Below are 22660 nucleotides of genomic sequence, written 5' to 3'. Positions count from 1 at the left end.
CACTCCAGCCTGGGCAACAGAGCAAGACTCTGTCTCAAAAAAGAAAAAAGAGGCCCCAAACATCTCAGATACCATCAATCTAAGGACAGATGTGGCCCTGTTAATACAAATTCCCAGTTAGAATGTCACTGAGCACCCACCTGTCATTGTAGGATCCCAGCCAACACCATAAATACACACCAGAGTGCTAACAAAGAACACATGTGTAGTGTGTATCAGGCACTCTATTAGCACTTTACAAACATTAACTAATTTAATTCTCACAGTAGCCCCCAGAGGTAGGTATCCTTAACACCTCATCTTGCAGAAGAGGAAGTGAGGTGCAGAATGGTGAAAAAATTTGTCTAAGGCTGCAAAGCCAGGAAGTGGCAGAGCCAGGAGCAGAACCTGGGCAGGCTGGTTCCAACATCCACAGACCTGACCACTAGGCTTGCCTGCCTCAAAGGTGAGCACGCAGGGGTGCCCCCACTGTGTGGGAGGCATTTCTCCTGGAATTTCAGCCTCCTCGCCTCCCTGTGCACAGGAGGAATCTGTATCACGCCTCCTCCACTGCCTGCCTGGCCACTGCCTCCAGGATGAAGCACTGCTCCAGGGCACAGCATCCTGTGCTATGGCAGGTTCCAGAAGGTGGCACTGCCCTGGGATCTACAGTGAGGACAGAGAGGATGGCCTGCCCCCTCCCACATGGTGGCAACCACATCCCTGATGCTTCAAAAGCTTCACAGATGATGTTATTGCACAGTCCTGGGAGTTGAGAGAGGCAGGAGAATGCAACACACCAGGACTTGGAAGGGTAAGAGGACCCAAGAGAGACCATGTGTGTCATTACAGGACTTGGTTGGCCTCTAGGGGTGGAGAAAGCCAGAGAAGAAGAATAGCTAATATTGGAGATAGCTTGGGGTATTATACTCACCAGCTCACATAGCCCTCCACATACTCTGGGGCTGACACTCTTGTGATCCCCATTTCACAGAGGTTAGAACAGAGCACTGGTAGTGGAATCATTTGCTGAGGCCACATAGCTAGTGAGAATCAGACTGGAACATGAGCCCTGAAGTGTCTGGCCTGCAAGTTTATGCCTTACCCCTGCCTGGAAGAAGGGTAGAGGCTTTCCCTTGTACCACACCATTGGCTGGATGTGGTTCCTTGCCTCCAATGCTGTCACTGAGTCCTCCCTCACTGAACATGTATGTATGCCATTCTCCCATCAAGAGGTGGGGGTCGATTCTTCCACCCCCTTGGAATCTCGGTTGGTCTGAAACAGCTTTGGCCAATAGAATAAGGCAGATGTGTCCGGGCGCGGTGGCTCACGCCTGTAATCCCAGCACTTTGGGAGGTTGAGGTGGGTGGATCACGAGGTCAGGAAATCAAGACCATCCTGGCTAACACGGTGAAATCCCGTCTCTACTAAAAATACAAAAAATTAGCCAGGCGTGGTGGCGGGCACCTGTAGTCCCAGCTACTCAGGAGGCTGAGGCAGGAGAATGGCATGAACACAGGAGGCGGAGCTTGCAGTGAGGCGAGATCGCACCACTGCACTCCAGCCTGGGCGACAGAGCGAGACTCTGTCTCAAAATAAAATAAAATAATAAAATAAAATAAAATAAATAAAAAAGAATATGGCAGATGTGATGCCTGGCCAGTCCCAGACCTAGGCTTTAAGAAGACCAGCAATTCCTAACGAAATCCTTGCTCCAGGGGAGTCAGAATCATTCAGGTAATCTAACTCTATACCCTGAGTTCGCCATGTTCTGAGGAAGCCCAAGCTAGCCCCCTGGAGAGGCTGCAAACAGAGACACAGAGATGTCTGCCCAGCCTATTCAGGCACCAGACATGTGAGTGAAGCAACCACCTCAGACACTCCAGCCCTTGTTGATGCCACACAGAGAAGACCCACAACCCCAGACAGGTGGTCCTAGTCAGGCCATTCCAGCCATCTCCAGCTGAGGTCCCAGATACAATGGACCAGAGAGGGACTACGTCCACTGGGCCCTGCCTGAGCTCCTGACCCACAGAATCATGAACATAATACAATGGTGTTGTTTTGTGCCGTTTTGGTTTAGGGTAACTGGTTACATAGCCATAGATAACCAGAACAGTGAGGCAGCCGCATCACCAGCCATGCAGCCGGGTGCCGGCTGCCCTAGGAGGCAGTCCCCAAAGGGCTATAGCCCCAGGCCCTCATGGCAGTGGGAAGCTGAAGCCCCAGTGGGTGTTGAGGGAGGAACTATGCCCAGCATGTGATTTAATGGCCTCTGGGGCAGGACAGCTGCCTTGGACAGTTTCCTGGGGTGGTTGCCAGGAGGACCTGATCCAGCATGAGGAACGTGTTCAAAGTTTACATCTCCCTTTTCAGGCTTTCCCGGGGACCAGAACAGAGAAGGCCTCTGGCTAAGGGGCACCCAGTGCTACCCACCTGGTTTTGGTACGGATGATGCCTGAACCACTTCCCCAGCACCATTGCAACACTCAGTGCCTCTCAGACAAATGCTCAACCCTTTAGGCCCCGAGGCAGCCCCCTCCTCCTGCACAACCACCCTTTTTCCAGGGCCCAGTGGAGGCCTCACACCCTGGTCCAGGAATGTGGGACCCCTCCTCCTGCCATGTCAGAATCCTCTGAGAGAGACAGAGGCAGACAGAGAGAGACCCCGACCAAGACAAAGGTGTAGAGACAGAGAGAGAGACAGAGAAGCAGACAGAGATAAAGAAACAAAGACACAAAGAAAGAGACACAGAGAAAAAGAGATACACAGAGAGAGACAGAAACAGAGGGAGAGAAAAGAAGAAAGTCAGAGAGAGAGGCAGAGGAGACAGAGATACAGAGAAAGAAGGGGGGAACCAGAGCAAATGAAGGAGAGACAAAAGACAGCGAGACAGACAGGCAGAAACAAAAAGGGAAGAAGTGATGAGATAAAGCCAGGGAGATGACAATGACAAAGGCGGGTGAGGCCAAAGTGGGGCTGCTTCATTTTCACCAGACACCTGATTTACCTTCTCCCAGGCTCTGCACCCACATCCTCCTCCGACGCCCCATCTCAGCTCCCCACGGCGAGTCCCAGCTGTCCCTCTGTTTGATCCCAGACTACTCCAGAGTGGACCTGACAAGCTCCCAAACCTGACGGATGTTCCCACTGCCCAGTGCTCATGTCTAAGCCCCTTAAGCCCCAGAGGTGTGGCCTGTCTCCCTAAGAGAAGTTGCCACCCCCAGGAGATCCTAGAAGGCTGTGCCCCACCTTGGGCCATCTCTGCTCTCCAAGGGCCAGTCCCACCTGTCACCCAATCCTCCCTCTGCAGCTCCAGCTCTAGGAAAAGGCCCCTAGGGGTGCAGCAGCTTTGGGCTGGGAGAGACAGAGTCACAGCAGGGGCAACAAGGGGCTCAGGCCTCAGGTCAGGAGGGCCCAGAAAGCCGCTTACTAGGAAGGGTCTCCACCTCCCCGCTTTCTTCCCTCCTCTCCTCTCTCGCCCTCCCACTCCATCCAGCCGATGGAGGTATAAAGAAAGCCAAGAGGGTCTCCCCTGAGCAGGCTCCATAACTCAGCCTGCCAGCGGAGGCCGATATTTAAATCATAGCTTACTTTGCTTTGTGTGAGGGAATTTATTAGCCTACCACATAAATGTTTTATTCATTAGGCCACGTAAATAATGCATGCCTGTTTCCATGGAGACTTAACCCTTCTGCTCCCATAGCCCTGGCCTGCCCTGGCCTCCCACCCTTGTAGGATGTTGTCACACCCCTGGTTCTGAATCTGCACAAAGCAGGAAGACCAACCACAAAACACAGTAAGAATCCACAGCAGTAGTCTTTGTATTGCCTGTAATTTACTAAGCCCTCTGTGAGCCTGATGCTGTGCTCAGCAATTTATCCCCAATGCTGTCAGGTGTCAGCGTCCTACATGCCACCATCACCCCCATTTTACAGATGAGAAGACTGGAGCTCTGGGAGGAGGAGGCACTTGTCCAGGGTCACACGGGGGCACACATGGGGCCAGGAGTCACACCAGGTGCAAATGATTCCAAAGCCCAGTTGTTTAGCCTCTGTGTCCCCACTTCCCTACCCACCCCACGGCCCTCTTGAAATGGCAGGGAGTTTCTTAGGGGCGCCTCACAGACAGGCATTCTCCCCAACCCAGTCTTCCTCTGCCACATTAGCTGGTCTCTCTCTGCAGCCCGCAGAATCCCAGCCGTCAAAGGCTGAAGTTGTGGGGATCACCCAGACCAAGCCCCAGGAACCGAGGTGTGAACTGATACCCAGAGTGGCACGGAGAGACCTGCCCAAAGTCACACCGCGAATCCCAGCAGACCAACCCTGGAACCTCAGGTCCCCCTCATGCCCTGAGCTGCTTCTTCTAGAACCTTCTGAGGTCCATAGGTAATAGTGCTGGCCCCCACCCCTCACCCCACTTTGCGGACTCTGGAGCATTGAGGTGAAGAGCCTGGCGCGGGGTCATCAGCAAATTGGCAATGGGCACGTGTGGGGAGGCCCAGGCAGGCCCCCATTCCTCCCGGTCACATCTCACTGCTCTGCTCAGTGAGCGTGGTGGCACACAGGCCACCTCTGCCACTGCAGCTGCCTGTTAGGCAGCTTCCTCTGGATCCCGCTTGGCCCCTGGATGACAGCAGTGTGCAGAGGCCACCACGGCTCCCATGACCAGGTTCAGGGGCATCCTGGCCCCCTCCACCGGATTTCTCAGCCTTTGAAAACAGAAAAATCATGGGTGAACCCAGAGCGGCTCGTGGAGAAAAGCCCAACCACACTGGTGTCTGCAAAGCCCACCTTAAACATCACCTTTGGCCACTGCCTCCCAGCTTTCCCGGCTTTCCGGCAGTCCTGTCCCCAGATGTGGCCTAAAAGCCTCCCTGACTGACTATGGAGGCCACAAGAGCCTGGAGCATGCCCAGGACTATGTTAAGCCCTTGACTCCCTGCTGTCATCTCACAGCAGCCTTAGCAGGGCCACCTGGTTGACATCATTTTCAGAGGAGGAACTTGTGTCTCAGAGAGGTGGAGAAACCTGTTGGGGTCACATAGTTGGCAAATAGCTCTTAACACAGGTCAGAGTGTCTTCCTGTCCTCCTTGCAACCCTTGACCGCTGCTCCCAGAGGGCAGGCCACGGGCTGCTGCTGGTGCCTACATGCCATTGCGTTACTACTGGGGAAGTTGTATTCCTCTTAACTGTCTGCAGACCTGCTCAAGTGAAGAAGAAAGAAGACAGTCTCTGGTGCTGGCTTGTCCAACACCTCATCAACATCCCAAATCACCCTTTTTTTTGAGACAGGGTCTAGCTCTGTCATCTCGTCAGGAGTACAGTGGCACAATCATAGCTCACTGCAGCCTTGAACTCCCAGGCTCAAGTGATCTTCCCACCTCAGCCTCCCAGGTAGCTGGGAATACAGGTGCACGCCACCATGCCCAGCTAATTTTTTTATTTTATTTTTTGCAGAGACGGAGTTTCACTGTGTTGTAAGGGCTGGTCTTGAACTCCTGGCCTAAAGTGATCCTCCTGCCTTGGCCTCCCAAATCACCCTTGTTAACAAAGATTGTAGGTCCTGGGCTTGGAGCCCTCTGCAGGATGCAGACATGGAATTTATTAACCTCAGTGCATTTTCATTGTATTTATTTTTATAGTTGCCTCCACCTACAGCAATAACACTGGTTTCTCCCTTACTAACAATAATGATGACAACATAGCTAAGACGTGTACAGCACTTACAACAGGTCTGGTGTTGTTCTGAGCTTTGCGTATTTTAATTTCACCTAATCTTTGGAAACCCTGTGGGGTCAGATCATTATTATTCTTGCTGAAAAAAGAAGGAAACTGAGGCTCAGAGTGGTTGGTACTGACCCCAACGTCACACAGCGGGTGCTGCAGCCACAACTGGAATCTTTCACAATCATAGTGTCTCCCACGGAAGGTAAATTTTCCTTTTAAAATAAATATTTGTAAAAAAATAAGGTCCATTTGTCATGTGTGCTAATAATCATGTGAGGAGTACATGGATGATCAAAAATCCTGAAGGCGACGCCTGAGTGCCGAGTTTGCCAGTGCTAAGCTGAGGTGCTCTCAGGTCTGCCTGGGGGTACGTGTGACATTATCTGACCATAGGCCCCACCCCTTGTGCTTGGAGCCAATGAGAACAAAGTCTGAGTTGGACGTACAGGATAGGCCCCACCCCTAGGCTTGGAGCCAATGAGAAGGAAGCTTCTGTTCTCACAAGAATGGGGCCAGGGAGTGGTCGCCTATACTCAGTGGATCCTCAGAGGGCCAAGGGGAGCCGTGCCTGGCGGGCGTCATCACAAGGACTCCTCACAGCTCCCCACAGCTGGGTAGTATCATTGTCCCCATTTTACACAGGAATGAATTGAAGCATCTGCAGGTCAATAACCTCACACTCCCTGCTGGGCGCAGTGGCTCACTCCTGTAATTCCAGCACTTTGGGAGGCCGAGGCAGGCGGATCGCCTGAGCTCAGGAGTTCAAGACCATCCTGGGCAACATGGAGAAACCCCATCTCTACTAAAATACAAAAAAGTAGCTGGGTGTGGTGGCACGTGCCTGTAGTCCCAGCTACTGGGGAGGCTGAGGCACGAGAATCGCTTGAGCCCAGGAGGCGGAGGCTGCAGTAAGCCAAGATTACACCACTGCACTCCAGCTTGGGTGACAGAGTGAGACTCCATCTTAAAACAAAACAAAACAAAACAAAGCAAAACAAAACAAAAAGAGCCTCACTCTCCCTCTGCAGCCAGTGGGGCCCAGAGCCAGGATTTGAAACCTGGTAGTCCGGCTTCATGGCCCATAGTGCTTAACCACTGTGCTCTATGATTTCAGTCCAAAAGCCAGTATCATCTGGTGGGGTGCGGTGGCTCATACCTATAATACTGGCACTTTGGGAGGCCGAGGCAGGAGGATCACTTGAGGCCGGGAGTTTGAGACCAGCTTGGGTAACATAGCAAGACCCCATCTCTATAAAAAACAAAATGAGCCAGGAGTGGTGGTGCACACCTGTGGCCCTGGCTATTCGGAGGTTGAGGCAGGAGGATGGCTTGAACCTAGGAATTCGAGGCTTCAGTGAACCATGACTGCACCACTGCACTCCAGCCTGGTGACAGAACAAGACCCTGTCTCTAAAAAACATTTTTTAAATAAAAATAAAATGATTTTTTAAAAAAACATCATCTGAGTCCCCTAGATACAGCCGTGCCTGTAGCTAAATCTACCCCTGGACTTTTCCTGAAATCCAGCTGATAAATTTCCCATTTTTGCTTAATCATGGAGAAATGGACGAAGGGCATTTTTACCTACAAAGGAAGGGATGATGGTGTCCCTTCCTCCCTTGGCTGGGAAACATAAGCTCAGTGGATTCTGCATACAGGTTCAGTCCAAGACTCAGTGTCCCCAAGTGACAGGCAAGGCAAATGTGTCAGTGTTGGGACTAAGTGAGGGGTGTGAGGCACCCTCAGGTGCTGACCGTGTACTTGCAACACGCTGATGGCAAGGAACTCTTTATATTTTGTGTCCAAGGGGCCACACTCCCCTCACCCAGCCCCAGCACTGCTCTGTGGACATGTGCCACAGGCATCATCCTGGCATCTTTTCTTCGGGCACTGGTGACCAGGAGGGCATGGTTCCACCTAACCTGCATACCTGTACCCTGTGACCCCCAGACCTCCACAGTGGTGGGCACCTGTGGGTCGTTTCCACAGACGTGACCCGCATTTTCCTGGCATGCTCCCTCCACCCCCACAAAAGCACACCAGCATAGGACCTCCTCCTGGTAGCTCTGGGATTCCCCTAGAATGGAGACCACCCGCAACATTCTCCTGTCCCCCCCTTTTGAAGTCTGTGTCCCTTGCCTCCGATACCAACAAGGCTGCCAGCCCTCCTTGCACCAAAGGACTCCTGAGTTGTCTGCAGCCCTCAATGAGCTGAAGTCGCTGGGTGGGTGCAGCCCGGGGAGAAGGCAGCTCTCTCTAGGCCCCCAGCAGCTCCGCCACTGCCCCCAGTCACCAGCATCCCCATGAAAGTTGTCCTCAGCTCCTGCCCAGACACTACCTCTCCACGGCTCAGATGTGAGTCCATGGGTCCAGGAGGTGACAGACATATTCTTGCCCTTCACCCTGCACCCTTCACAATGTCCTCCTTGCCTTTGAGACTACTGACACAGACCCTGATGCTTCAGACATGCCCGGGAGTGCCCAAACCCCCTGCACACTCACCCACCATTTACTGAAGCCTCCAGGCTCTGTTCCAGGCATGGCAACTCCTGGGAACAAAATGGCACTCTTCCCACTTTCCAGAGGAGAAAACCTGTCAGAAAGGGCCGAGAACTTGCCCCAGGATACACAGCTGCTAAGCTAAGGAACCCAGGTGGGATCCAGATGTGACGCTACTGCACTCCACTGTGGCGGAGAATGAAGACCATCTGACTCCACTGTTCCCTTCTTCAGTCGCCTTCTTACCTCCAGGACTAGTGGTGAAAAGCCACACTCTTCTCCCCGGGGAGAAGGGGCATCCCCCCAGCCCTGAGAGCCAGCAGAGTCCAGGGCCTCCCAGAGCTCAGGTGATCATTAAACCCCTGCCCCAAATCTTCTTGCTACACAGACACACACACACACACACACGCACGCACACACACACACAAACACAAACATGTCCCTCCAATTCTTCTGCCCACTCTCACAGGCTCCTTCAGCCTGCATTTTCCCACCAGCTTAATTCTGGTCTCTGGCCCAAGTCCTCAGCACCTTTACTGCATTGAGATCACCAGCCCCTGTGGGACCCAGTGATGGCTCAGACTCCCAGAGCAGGTCAGCAGTCCCACCTCTCAATCTCCCTGTGCATCCCTGATCCAGGGTCCCTGTCAGCTTCAGGGACTTTACAAGTTCAGCCCCGCCAAGGCTCTGACCCAACCCTGGATAGGGTAGAAGGTGGATCTGGGGACCCCGAGGGTCAGAGGTACTTTGATCGGTGGAAGGGGACGTCCTGAACCCTTCCCTTCCCTGCTGTGTCTGTCCCACTGACATCCCAGGTCTCTGCCTCAGTTTCCCCGCCCAGCCCTGCAGCCTCCTACTGGGAAAGGCACCCTTTCCTTCCCTGGTAAGGCCAGAAGCTCAGATCCCCAGGAGGGGCTCAGTGGGCATTGCTGAAGGGAAAGGAAGGGAACTGGGCTGAGTCCCTGCCTCAGCGCTTCCTCCCTCCTTGGATAGTGGTACTGGCCCAAAGCTAGCCAGAGTCCCCATCACCTGGGGGACCTGCTGACTGGTCCCTGGCCACACCCTCAGGGCTCCCTCAGACCCATCTCACCCAGCCTGATGCCTGATGATCCCCATTAATAGACACAGCCTCTCTTCCTCAAATGAACTCTGATCCCTCCCACCTCCAGGCTTCAGCACACTTGGTCCCCCCCAACCCAGAATACTCAGCCCAATCCTCCCTTGCCCATTAGCCTGGTTCTCTCTTAATCTCTCAGATCCCTGCTAAATTCCCTGATCCTGCAATCAAAATCCAGCCTCCCTATGATACTACGTACACTTAAGCTCCTTGTTTTGTTTTGTTTGAAACAGGGTCTCACTCTGTCACCCAGGCTGGAGTGCAGTGGCACAATCACGGCTCACTGCATCCTCCACCCCCCAGGCTCAAGCAATCCTCCCACCTCAGCCTCCTGAGTAGCTAGCTGGGACCCCAGGTGCACACCACTATGCTTGGCTAATTTTCTTATTATTTGTAGAGATAAACTCTCTCTCTGCTGGCCAGGCTGGTCTCGCACTCCTGGGCTCAAGCAATCCTCCCACCTTGGCCCCCCAAAGTGCTGGGATTACAGACGTGCACCACTGCACCTTGCCTGGACATTTTTTTTTAAATAGTGGTTATTGCATTTACCAGGACTGATTGTTTAATTAACGACTTACTCCATGAGGCCATCCTCTATGCCAGTTGCAATTCCTGACACATGGTGGATCTCTAGTAAATATCTGAGGAATGAATGAGTGAGTTACCACCCAAAAGGCCCCAGTCCTAGGAACAACCTTTGAGTGACTGTACCCAAAAATCACCCCAAGAGACACACCAGAAATACTTGGGCCAAGGTCTTTGGTGAGGCCATCGCACCTCTGTGGTGACTTTTCTGAGCCAGCAGGGGCAGCTGCATCCCAGCCCTGGGGCTGATGGTTCTGATCAGCACTCCTGAGATGCGATGCAGGCCCCAGTGCTGAGATGGTTCTTGGGGTGGTGGTTACTCCCTGGCATTCCTAACCCAGGCTCTATGTGGACCCAGCCCCTGCTTCCCAAAGTGCTTCTTTGTACTGTACTTCCCAAGTCCCTCCCTCCATCTCCAGCAGGGCATGCTCAGGGCCTCAGGGACCCTCTTATAAGGTGCTGTGTGTTGAATTGTGTATCCCAAAAAGACATGTTGGGCTGGGTGCAGTGGCTCACACTTGTAATCCCAGCACTTTGGGAGGCTGAGGCAGGTGGATCACTTGGGGCCAGGAGTTTGAGACCAGCCTGGCCAACACAGTGAAACCCCATCTCTACTGATAAATAGAAAAAATAAGCCAAGCATGATGATGCACACTTGTAATACCAGCTACTTGGGAGGCTGAGGCACAAGAATTGCTTGATCCCAGGAGGCAGAAGTTGCAGTGAGCCGAGATCATGCCATTGCACTATAGCCCAGCCTGGGCGACAGAGTGAGACTGTCTCAAAACGAAACAAAAAGACCTGTTGAAGTGTTAAAATCCAGTACTTGTGAAGGTGACTTTATTTGGAAATACGGTCTTTGCAGAGGTAATCAAGTTAAGATGAGGCCACACTGAAATAGCATGGGCCCTTCATCCAATTTGTTTATGTCATCATAAACAAAAGAAAGAGAAACAAACAGGGAGAAGGCCAGGTGATGACAGAGGCAGAGTGCAGGCCAAGGAACTCCAAGGGTTGACAGCCAGCACCAGAAGAAGCTAAGAGGCCAAGGTCTATCCACAGTCTCTCAGGGAGTGTGGCCCCATTGACACCTTGATTTCAGACTTGTAGACCCCAGAACTGTGAGAGGACAACTCTCTGCTGTCTGAAGCCACCAACTTTGTAGTAAGTTGTCATGGCAACCCTAGGCAATGAATGCTGAGGGCTTCCTGGCCCTGTGGGTCATGGTCAGATGCCTAACATGGAGAAAGGTCCTGGACTTTGCTGGGACCCGGGCTTGCAAGCCACTTTTCACTAGGGGATGGCACAGGGTGCTGGACACATATGCATTGGAGGGGTAGCACAGCAGTACACAGGCCAGGAGGCTGTCTGGGTGCAGGGCTGCTGGGGAAGCAGGTCCTCACAGAGCATGGAGGGATGGGCTGCCGCACATCTGTGGACCACCAGGCCTGTTTCTCCAGTGACCCCCCCATCTAGAAGGGACCCCAGTTTCTCCTCCCATAGCCTCGTGATCATCATCTCACAGAAGACTTCAGCCCTTGGACAAGCTACCAGCCAAACAGAGCAGAGAAATCTCCAAGAGGTCTGTTTCTGAAAATGGGAGAGCATGACTCAAGCTTTAGACAAAAGGATTAATTCCAGTAATACTAACGACGCCTACTGAGCATCTACCCTGTGGCAGGCACTTGGCAGGCATTATCTGAGCTCGTGTTCTCGTGGAAGAGTGGGTATCAACTCCCCCCTTTATACGTGAGCAAGCAGGAGCTCAGAAGAAATTGGCCCAAGTTTCCCTAGCTGATTTTGATAGAATCAGAATTTGAGTCTAGGCCTTTCTGACTCCAAAGCCCATCATGAGTGTCCAGCCTCCCCATGGATGAGCAGGATATGCCAAGAGATACACTTTGGTCTTGGACACCCAAAGAATGGAGGAGACACTTGTGAAGACACACAAACTGGGATATGTCAGTAACTTGGGATGAGATACGGACAATGGGGCTATACCCAGGAGGGTGTGGCATGGATCAGGAGCAGGGCTGCCTGTTTGTCTCAGTCCCTGCTGGTTCCAGGCTCTCACAGATGCCCCTGGGGCTCCACCCTACACAGGCCTAAGCCAGTGACAGCCCAGGCCAGTGGCAGATCCAGAGTCCTTCATGCCTGGGGTAATGTTAGGAATGCATGGCTGCTCCATGAAACTCATGCCCCATTCCTGGGTGTACCATGAGCTTCAACTTGAAGCCTCCAGGCTTGACGCTCATTGACACCCCAGTTGGCCACGCTGGTCTCCTGCTGGGATCTTAGGCTAGCACCTGCCCAGCTTGTCATATTCCCAACCCCTCTGGCCAAGGCCTGAGGCTGACTGCTTCTGGCATCCACCCAGGCCTCTTTGGTCTTTGCATCAGACTCTCTATGACCCTGAACATAGCAACAACTCTAGAAGTGTCTGCCCAGCTCATAGTCTAAGAGTTTTCCTTCTAGGGATGGTTCTATGCTTTGAATGTTCCCTCCAAAACTCATGTTGAAATTTAATTGCCATTGTAACAGTATTAGAGGTGGGGCCTTTAAGACGTGATTAGGCCATGGGGGCTCTGCCCTCATGAGTGGATTAATGCCATTATTGTGGGAGTGGGTTAGTTATGATGGGAGTTCAGCCCCCTCTATCTCTCTCTGTCTCTCACATAAGCACTTTCTCACTATGTGATGCCTCCTGCCATGTTATGACACAGCAAGAAAGCCCTCACCAGATGCAGCCTCTCAAACTTGGACTTCCTGGCCTCTAGAAACATGAGCCAAATAAATCTGTTTTCTTTATAAATTTCCCAGTCTGTTGTATTCTTTTATAGCAGCAGAAAACAAACTAAGACAGATGGGTGTGGTAGCCACATTCAAGAGACGGCATTGTGCAGTGGTCAGGCACAGGCATGTTAGGACCAAACTACTGGGTTTTAAGTCAGCTCAGCCACACACTGGCTGTGTGACCATGGGCATGTTACTTCAATTCTCTGTGCCTCATCTATAGAGTGAGTCTGATAAGGGTAGTGCCTGTATCATACAAGCATTGTATGACGATGAGGAATTAAACATGCAAAGCACTTAAAATAGTGCATTCTAAGAGCTTAGTAAATGTTGGCTGTTATCATTACCATCATCATAACTTTCACATGTTCTTGTCATCAATATTATTATTCCAGTGTGACTCTATCCATTGCTGATTGGACCAAAAATGTACATCTGACTCAGCCTGGGCCACTTATGTTCTCAGGCTTAAGAATGTGGAATTTGTGCCCAGGACCAAAGGGCACAAATCAGTCTAGGCTTGTCCTGATGACAGGAAAACACAGAGTCCATAAGGTGACCCTGTGTGTCCGCAGGCATGGGGGAGCAGGGAGAACCCAAGTGCAGACAGGAGAATGAAATAGAAGCACACTGAGATACTCAATTGAAAGGCCATTTAGCTCCAGATACAAAGAGAGATGGAGGGAGAGTCTTCCCAATGGCTCTCTGACTCCATCCTCTCAGCCTGCTGTGCTTGAGGACTATGGCTCATGGGTGACAGGAAAGGCCACAGTTCATCCAGGAGGAGAGAGATCCCTCCCCCTACTTCATAGCATCATCTCTCATGCACTGCTAGCTTCCTCAAAGCCCTGTGTCCCAAGGGTCCCGGAGCTCACTCTCCAGAGGAACCAGCAGAACCTCTGAAATGTTGAGGTCCTGAGGACTAGGTTAGGAGCCCCTCCCTCACTGCTTTCACTTCTGAGGGTCACCAAGTAATCCCAGGAAGCCTCCACGTCCTGTCCTTCTAGACCAAAGTAGGGCCCAGCAGAGAGAAGCAAAATTAGCCTGGGTCCCAGATCACAGGGATGAGACCCTGCAAGGTACATAGGCCCAGCCCCTCGTGTTTGGATAAACTGAGTCTCAGCTATCCTACCCAGAGCAATCGCTGTGTCAGGGACCCTGTCTTGGTGAAGGGGGTCTGCAAGGTGAGTGCATACCTGCATCTGACTTCCCTCTCCCTTCTCTCATGCCTCTGAATCCAGACACCAAGGACATCCACATGGCCACTAATACTTTTCAGTTCTATCTGATTTTTTTCCAGCATTTCACTTTGCTGATCACTCTCCACTTCTTGAAACACCCTCCCTCTGTGAATCCCATGGCATGACACCTCCCTGTCCTCTTCCCTGCTCCCCAGCTGCCCCTTCTCTGCCTCCTTCTGGGACTTTCTCAATGATCAGTTGTCCTCCAGGTGCTGTCTTTGCAACTCTTCTCTCTCCACACCCTCCCTGGATAGTCTCATCCACTCCCTGGCTTTTCCCCCTGTCTGGGTGCCAAGGATGCCCAAATCTCTCTCCAGCCCAAACCCTTTCTGGGGCTTCAGCTCAAGAGCCCAACAGCCTTTCTCACAGCCTCCTGGACGTCCACGTCTCTCCAAACTCAAATAGCTCAACACTGGGCTCCTCCTTCTCCCTGAAGTAGGACTATCTCACCCTATCTCAGTGAATAGTGTCCTCCAACTTCTAGTAGCTTCAGCAATAAACGTCTGGGCTACCTCACTCTCTACTGCAAATAAAGCCCATTAGCTAGTCCTGTCAAGTCCACCTTTTAAGCATCTTTCTAATCTGACCACTCTTCCCAGCCCTCGTTCACTGCTGCAGCTCAGATATACATTATTGTTCCCCTGGGGTTGTCTATCAGATGTTGATGTTTAATAAATCTGTAAGTCTAAAATACAAGAACTAGTCCCTACTTGACCAGACTAGGGAACAGCTCAGAGTCTAGCTCAAAAATCCAAATCTCAGCACAGAGCTCAGAAACTGGAGCTCATGTCTAGTCTGGAGCAAAATCCCCTCCCAAGACTCACAGGATGAAGCCCAGGACTCTGTACTCAGCCCATCTCTCAGTCTAAGGAGTCACATGTGTCTCAACCCCCTCCACCAAGGTCCCTTATTGTATTTTTCTTAAAGAAAAACAAGTGTCGATGGGGAGAGGGTTAACAGTTTATTCTATTTTTTCTGAGTGATTTTATCACTGTCGTTAGAACATTCATTGAAGTAAGTGAGGAATCCATCACAGGCTGACAGCAGTGTGCAGACTAATGGCTGTTAGATGGTAATAATTTTTAATATGATTTTTATTTCACTTAATTTCATATGTGCTTGACAAAAGGTCCCCAGTCACTGGGGAGCAGTGCGGAACTGGGAATATGCTCACAGGAAGGTCTATTAAGCCAGGTGCTGGAAGCATTTCAAAGAAACAACTTTGCCATTCGGGGGAAAGCTGGGAACTTGGTTGGGTGAAAGGAGCTGGTTTCTGGCACGATGTCTGTATCATGCCCCCACAGACACTGGCATATCCACGCCTCGTGGTACCATGAGTCAAAGAGACAGGCACTGAAATGACAGGTATGCCCACAGGCACGCATGCAAACTTGCCAAGACTCATGGACATAGATGAATCTTATCTGGTCAGAGGACACACAATCACACCCAATACGTCACACTCCAAGTTTTCAGAGAAATGCGTAGTAGGTTTGTGCACATAAAGATGAAAATTGCAATGGAGAGAGATGGGGAGGGAGGGAGAGCAAGACTCATTCCTTGACATGACACACAGTCTCACCCTAGAATTCAGCTCTCTCACTCTCATTCTCTCCCTCTCTCTCTCTCTCACACACACACACACACGCACGCAGAGAGAGAAAGAGGATCACATACAGAGAACATATAGATTTAGCCCCATACAGAGACACATCTCACACATGTGAGAATAATCACATATAACACATCCCTCGGTCACCAAGACAGACACACACATCCTACCAGGTGTATCCTACAGCCCCTTCATGGATCACGAAACCCTTCGGGTTTTCTAAAAATTGAGTTTAACCACTAGAGGAAGAGGTGGGAAGACCAACACTTGTGCCCCATTGCAAGAGGTGGCCACGGGAAAGGGGAGGGAGGGGCATCCTGTTTGTGTGGCCTCAGCTTCCTGGATTCCAGGACCTCCTGACAGGAAGTCGGGGGTGGAGGCCTAGCACAGGATTGGCTAAGATGAAACCAGATCAGACCAGAGCCCATGTGTGAAGTGATCCAGGGTGGGTCCCAGTGTCTTCTGGGGATAATCTTGAAGAGATCCTGGCTGGAGCATCCAGTGCCCTCCAGACATGCAACAGACCAGGGGGACACAATACAAAGCTCCAGACCCTGCAGAGAACCTGTCAGCCCCAATGAAGGAGTCTCAGCCACAGGAGGCCAGGCTGGCCTGGGCACCTGCTCACACATCAGCAGGAACTTGAGCCAAAACAGGGAGCCCAGCCCAGGACCCAAGTGGCCAGAAAGAAGAAGGCAGGAAATAAAGAAGCCACAGTCTGATGCTTAAAACATCCATGTTGCCTGTCCATGACACCCCAGACACAGAAGCAGCAGACAGATCATCATTCCCCCAGACAGATAAGGAAAGCCCCCACCAGGCCAATTGTCCCACCAGGCCAATTCTCATTTGCTCCAAGACAAGGCTTAGAAGAAGAAGAAGAAAAAAAACAGAAACAAAAAAAACAAAAAAACAAAACAGACAGAGCCTTATATCTCTTTGGCTCCCCCTCTAGAGGAAGAGTAGAGCGGTGTCCATCACATCCTGCAAGGCATTGTACACTCCTGGCCATGAGCCTACCAGGAACTTCTTGCTGATGAACCCTCAGCATGCTGTCCTTTCAGTCTGGCTCTGAGAGGGGCTGTCCTGTGAGGCTAAGAGAGGAGACTAGAGTCATACTGCTGAGTTTCAACCCCAGTTCTGCCACTCACTAACTGGGCAAGCTACTTAATCTCTCTGTGCCTGTTTCCTTATGCACAGAACTGGAAGAGCAAGTCTCTACCTCACAGGTCATTGTAAGGATCAAGTGAAAGAATCTGGATCTTGGAAAAGGTCATCTACTGTGATTCTTTTCTCCCCATTTCTTATAAGGGTGGGAATTGGCTGTTCCCAGGTTCTGTTAGCGTAGAGAGGGATTTTTGAAGGCTGAGGCAGTCAACCCATCATGTCACTTTTCCCCAAGCCATTCACTAACCCTGCCTGGCTTAGGGATCCTCAGCACCTGCAAGATTGAGGGAGAAGCCAGACTAGATCGCAGTATTGTGGTCAATCACTGTCTGATGTGAGTCCCCTAACACAGACACACACAGACACACAGACACACACAGACAGACAGACAGACAGACACACACACACACACACACACACACACACACACACACACAGTTTCAGACGTTCCCTCTAGTCCCTGAGAAGCCACACACCCCTCTGACCTCCTCCAAGCTGAGAGGCTGCCCCGAAGGTGATCAGGACAACGGACAGCAGCAAGCCTCTGTCCATGGTACTGCATGGGGCTTTCCTCCTTTCCCTCACTGCAGTTCCCACACTGCACACTCGCCCCTTCCACATTCTAACCAGGACGTCCGGCGGGACACTTATCAAGAGACTGCAACCCCAGAAGGTTCAGAGTTATTGGTTGAGTGGGAAATTCTGCATCTGAAGAAATCCTTTTGTAAAGGAATATGGCTGGGGGTCCTGAGTCAGCCCCGCTACTCGTTTGCCCAGGGACACCTTCATACTCCCTGTCTCTGGGGTTGGCCATCCCCAGAACTCTACTCCCAGGCTGGCATCTCCAGTACACTGGGAAATGGTCCAAAGAGGAAGTCTTTGGCCTATATTTACTAGGCACAGGCTGTGGGCCAGAGTCTGGGCTAAGCCTTTCACATGCATTATCACAGTTAATTCTCCAACAACCCAGTGAGGTAGGTGCTATTGCTATCTCCACTCTGCAGATGAAAATCCTTAGATTAGAGAGGTTATTGGCCTGCCCTTTACAGAGCTCGAGGTGGAGGCGCAGGGTTTGCACACATGTCAAGACTAAGCACCAGTGATTCTGTCTTGGTAATTTCTGTGGCCATCACCCCTATTGCCTATAGCCAGCAAAGAAGGAACTCTTAATGAATATCCATTGAATGAGTGAATGTATATTTTAATAATCCCAAAGCTCTTGTCCTAGCCTCTTCATTGCTCTGCCTCCTAACTGGGAGAAGGTTCACATTCAAAGTTGTTTCTTCGGCCACTGAGATTCTCCCACCTGTCTCTTTTGGCAGGAGCTCTCCCCCGCCACAGCCCCCATGGAGCCCAACATAAACCTCCATTGCCCTTCCACAGGGCTTGGCCATCTCAAACCTCCTTGGATCTGAGGCTGAAGGTCTTGAGATCTGGCTCCCCACAGCCTGGAACAGGCTCATGCTGGTCAGGCTGCCAGGAGAAGCCTTGCCAACTCCGCCTCTTTAGCTGGAGCTGCTGTGGAAAGTGGTAAGTGCCCAGAAATGGCAGTGATCATTATCATTATCGTTCCTGTGGAACACCAGGGTTGTCCCCACCTTGGCATCTGCAAGGGACAAATTTAAGCTCATTTCCAAGATCTCTACCCAGTAATAGTACTTTTAACTCAGAGTGGGGAAGATTCTGCAGGAATCTCCAGCTTGCAGTGCCTGAGCTCAGAAATCCTCCCAAAAACTTGGGGCCCAGTGATTCATTTGTGGGTTACAACACATTTCAATATAGGTTGAGATTTTCCAGAGCCATGTTTTTAAGTCTTCATGGAGGCAGGTCAAATTCTAACCTCAAAGAGGGTAGTAAATAATAAGAGTCCAGACTTGTGCCAATAACAAAACAATAGCAACAAATTACTGTTGATTTAGCATCTACTGTAAGCCCAAGACTATGCTAGGAAAAAGGCATAGAAAGAACCAAACAAGGGTCTTGCCTCCAAGAATCCCAAAGATCAACAGAAAAGAACTTCAAGTAAATGGACAGTCAATTCTTTGTCAAAGATGACTGACGAGGAAAAAGATGGGGATTCTTCCTGGGCCAAGTTAGCTGAGAGACCCCCGCATCCCTGACAGCCTTCCCCAGAACCCACAGTGGATCCAGTCACCCATTGTCCCAGTTCCAGACAGCACAGCCAGGTAGAAGCAGTAAAATCTAGTGATCATTAATGGCACAGATTCAGGAGACAGACAGCTCTTATTCAAATCCCAGTTCTTCCACTTCATAGCTATGTGTCTTTGTACAAGTTATTAATCTCTCACTCATGGCCCCAGTATTCTCAGTTGTAAAATGGAATAAAACCTAACCTATCTCAGGGGGTATTGTAAGGATTAAATGAGTGGATGATTACAAGAGCTTAGAACAGGGCTTGGCACATAGCAAAGGCCATAGAAGCATGCGGTGGTGGTGGTGGTAGCATCATTTTCCCAGCATGCAAGCCCATCAGAGGCTGGCACCAACCTGGGGAGGCAGCACTGGGGACCCAGCATCACTTCACTCCTGCTTTTGAGTTACTCACTCCCTGCCTGAGCTCACAAACCAGCCATGGCCAGAGCCAAAACAGAGTCCTCTGCTCATCTCAGATATGTAGGCAGCCCCAGCTCCCTGCCAGCCATTCCCTTTCCTCTGATTCCTATATATTCACTATTTTAACTCCCAGGAATCAGGCACTTACTTTGTGGGGTCCTTGGCATACAAGATGCCTCTCCAAGTCCTCACAATAACGCTTTGAGGTGGGGACTATCATGATCTCCATTTTCCAGAAGAGGATACACAGGTTCAGAGTGGCTTAGGCCCAGGCAGGGTAAGTCCAGTGCACCAGCTCTGAACCATTCAGCTACATGGCCTTCATCCACAAAGGATGTGAGGCAGTTCTTCCCATGGAATCTTCCTGCAGGCCTGCTCTCCCTCAAAGTGACATCCACAACAGCCTGGCTGCAAAGGGGAGCATGGTGGCTGTCAGACCTCTGAGCCCAAGCTAAGCCATCATATCCCCTGTGACCTGCACATACACATCCAGATGGCCGGTTCCTGCCTTAACTGATGACATTCCACCACAAAAGAAGTGAAAATGGCCTGTTCCTGCCTTAACTGATGACATTGTCTTGTGAAATTTCTTCTCCTGGCTCATCCTGGCTCAAAAGCTCCCCCACTGAGTACCTTGTGACCCCCCACTCCTGCCCGCCAGAAAACCCCCTTTTTCCTTTACCTACCCAAATCCTATAAAACGGCCCCACCCCTATCTCCCTTCGCTGACTCTCTTTTCGGACTCAGCCCGCCTGCACCCAGGTGATTAATATCTTTATTGCTCACACAAAGCCTGTTTGGTGGTCTCTTCACACGGACACGCATGAAATTTGGTACCGTGACTCGGATCGGGGGACCTCTTGTGGGAGATCAATCCCCTGTCCTCCTGCTCTTTGCTCTGTTGAGAAAGACCCACCTACGACCTCAGGTCCTCAGACCGACCAGCCCAAGAAACATCTCACCAATTTCAAATCCAGTAAGCGGCCTCTTTTTACTCTCTTCTCCAACCTCCCTCACTATCCCTCAACCTCTTTCTCCTTTCAATCTTGGCGCCACACTTCAATCTCTGCCTTCTCTTAATTTCAATTCCTTTCATTTTCTGGTAGAGACAAAGGAGACACGTTTTATCCATGGACCCAAAACTCCGGCGCCGGTCACGGACTGGGAAGGCAGCCTTCCCTTGGTGTTTAATCATTGCAGGGATGCCTCTCTGATTATTCACCCACGTTTCAGAGGTGTCAGACCATGCAGGGACGCCTGCCTTGGTCCTTCACCCTTAGTGGCAAGTCCTGCTTTTCTGGGGGAAGGGCAAGTACCCCAACCCCTTCTCTCCTTGTCTCTACCCCTTCTCTGCTTTTCTGGGGGAGGGGCAAGAACCCCTCAACCTCTTCTCCTTTAACCTTAGCGGCAAGTCCCACTTTTCTAGGGGTCAGGAACCCCCAATCCCTTATTTCCACACCCTGACCTCTTATCTCTGTGCCCCAATCCCTTATTTCCATGCCCCAACCTCTTAACTCTGCACCCTGATCCCTTATTTCCATGCCCCGACCTCTTATCTCTTTGCCCTGATCCCTTATTTCCATGCCCCACCTCTTATCTCTGTGCCCTGACCCCTTATTTCCACACCCCAACCCCTTTCCCATTTTTCTGGAGGGTAAGAACCCCCGAACCCCTTCCCTCCGTGTCTCTACTCTCTCTTTTCTCTGGGCTTGCTTCCTTCACTATGGGCAAATTTCCACCCTCCATTCCTCCTTCTTCTCCCTTAGCCTGTGTTCTCAAGAACTTAAAACCTCTTCAACTCACACCTGACCTAAAACCTAAATGCCTTATTTTCTTCTGCAATGCCGCTTGACCCCAATACAAACTCGACAGTAGTTCCAAATAGCCAGAAAACGGCATTTCCATTTTTTCCATCCTACAAGATTTAAATAATTCTTGTCGTAAAATGGGCAAATGGTCTGAGGTGCCTGACATCCAGGCATTCTTTTACACATCAGTCACTCCCTAGCCTCTGTTCCCAATGCAACTCGTCCCAAATCTTCCTTCTTTCCCTCCCACCTGTCCCCTCAGTCCCAACCCCAAGCATCACTGAGTCTTTCTAATCTTCATTTTCTACAGACCTATCTGACCTCTCCCCTCCTCACCAGGCCGAGCTAGGTCCCAATTCTTCCTCAGCCTCTGCTCCTCCACCCTATAATCCTTTTATCACCTCCCCTCCTCACACCTGGTCCAGCTTACAGTTTCGTTCCATGACTAGCCCTCCCCCACCTGCCCAGCAATTTACTCTTAAAAAGGTGGCTGGAGCTAAAGTCATAGTCAAGGTCAATGCTCCTTTTTCTTTATTCCAGATCAGATAGCGTTTAGGCTCTTTCTCATCAAATATAAAAATCCAGCCCAGTTCCTGACTCGTTTGGCAGCAACCCTGAGACGTTTTACAGCCCTAGACCCTAAAAGGTCAAAAGGCCGTCTTATTCTCAATATACATTTTATTACCCAATCTGCTCCCAACATTAAATAAAACTCCAAAAATTAAATTCCGGCCCTCAAACCCCACAACAGGACTTAATTAACCTCACCTTCAAGGTGTACAATAATAGAGTATAGGCAGCCAACTAGCAACATATTTCTGAGTTGCAATTCCTTGCCTCCACTGTGAGACAAACCCCAGCCACATCTCCAGCACACAAGAACTTCCAAACGCCTAAACCGCAGTGGCCAGGCATTCCTCCAGAACTGCCTCCCCCAGGCGCTTGCTACAAGTGCCAGAAATCTGGCCACCAGGCCAAGGAATGCCCGCAGCCCGGGATTCCTCCTAAGCCGTGTCCCATCTGTGGGGGACCCCACTGGAAATCGGACTGTTCAACTCACCTGGCAGCCACTCCCAGAGCCCCTGGAACTCTGGCCCAAGGCTCTCTGACTGACTCCTTCCCAGATCTTCTCGGCTTAGCAGCTGAAGACTGACGTTGCTCGATCGCCTCGGAAGCCCTGTAGACCACCACAGACGCCGAGCTTCAGGTAACTCTCACAGTGGAGGGTAAGTCCGTCCCCTTCTTAATCAATACAAAGCCTACCCACTCCACATTAGCTTCTTTTCAAGGGCCTGCTACCCTTGCCTCCATAAATGTTGTGGGTATTGACAGCCAGGCTTCTAAACCTCTTAAAACTCCCCAACTCTGGTGCCAACTTAGACAGTACTCTTTTAAGCACTCCTTTTAGTTAGCCCCACCTGGCGAGTTCCCTTATTAGGCCAAGACACTTTAACTAAATTATCTGCTTCCCTGACTATTTCTGGATTACAGCTACATCTCATTGCCGCCCTTCTTCCCAATCCAAAGCCCCCTTTGCATCCTCCTCTTGTATC

The sequence above is a fragment of the Homo sapiens genome, chromosome 9, assembly GCF_000001405.40.
Source record: "Homo sapiens chromosome 9, GRCh38.p14 Primary Assembly".
NCBI classification, from domain to species: domain Eukaryota; kingdom Metazoa; phylum Chordata; class Mammalia; order Primates; family Hominidae; genus Homo; species Homo sapiens.
The sequence above is the reverse complement of the archived record's forward strand: the minus strand, read 5'-3'. Positions refer to the sequence as shown.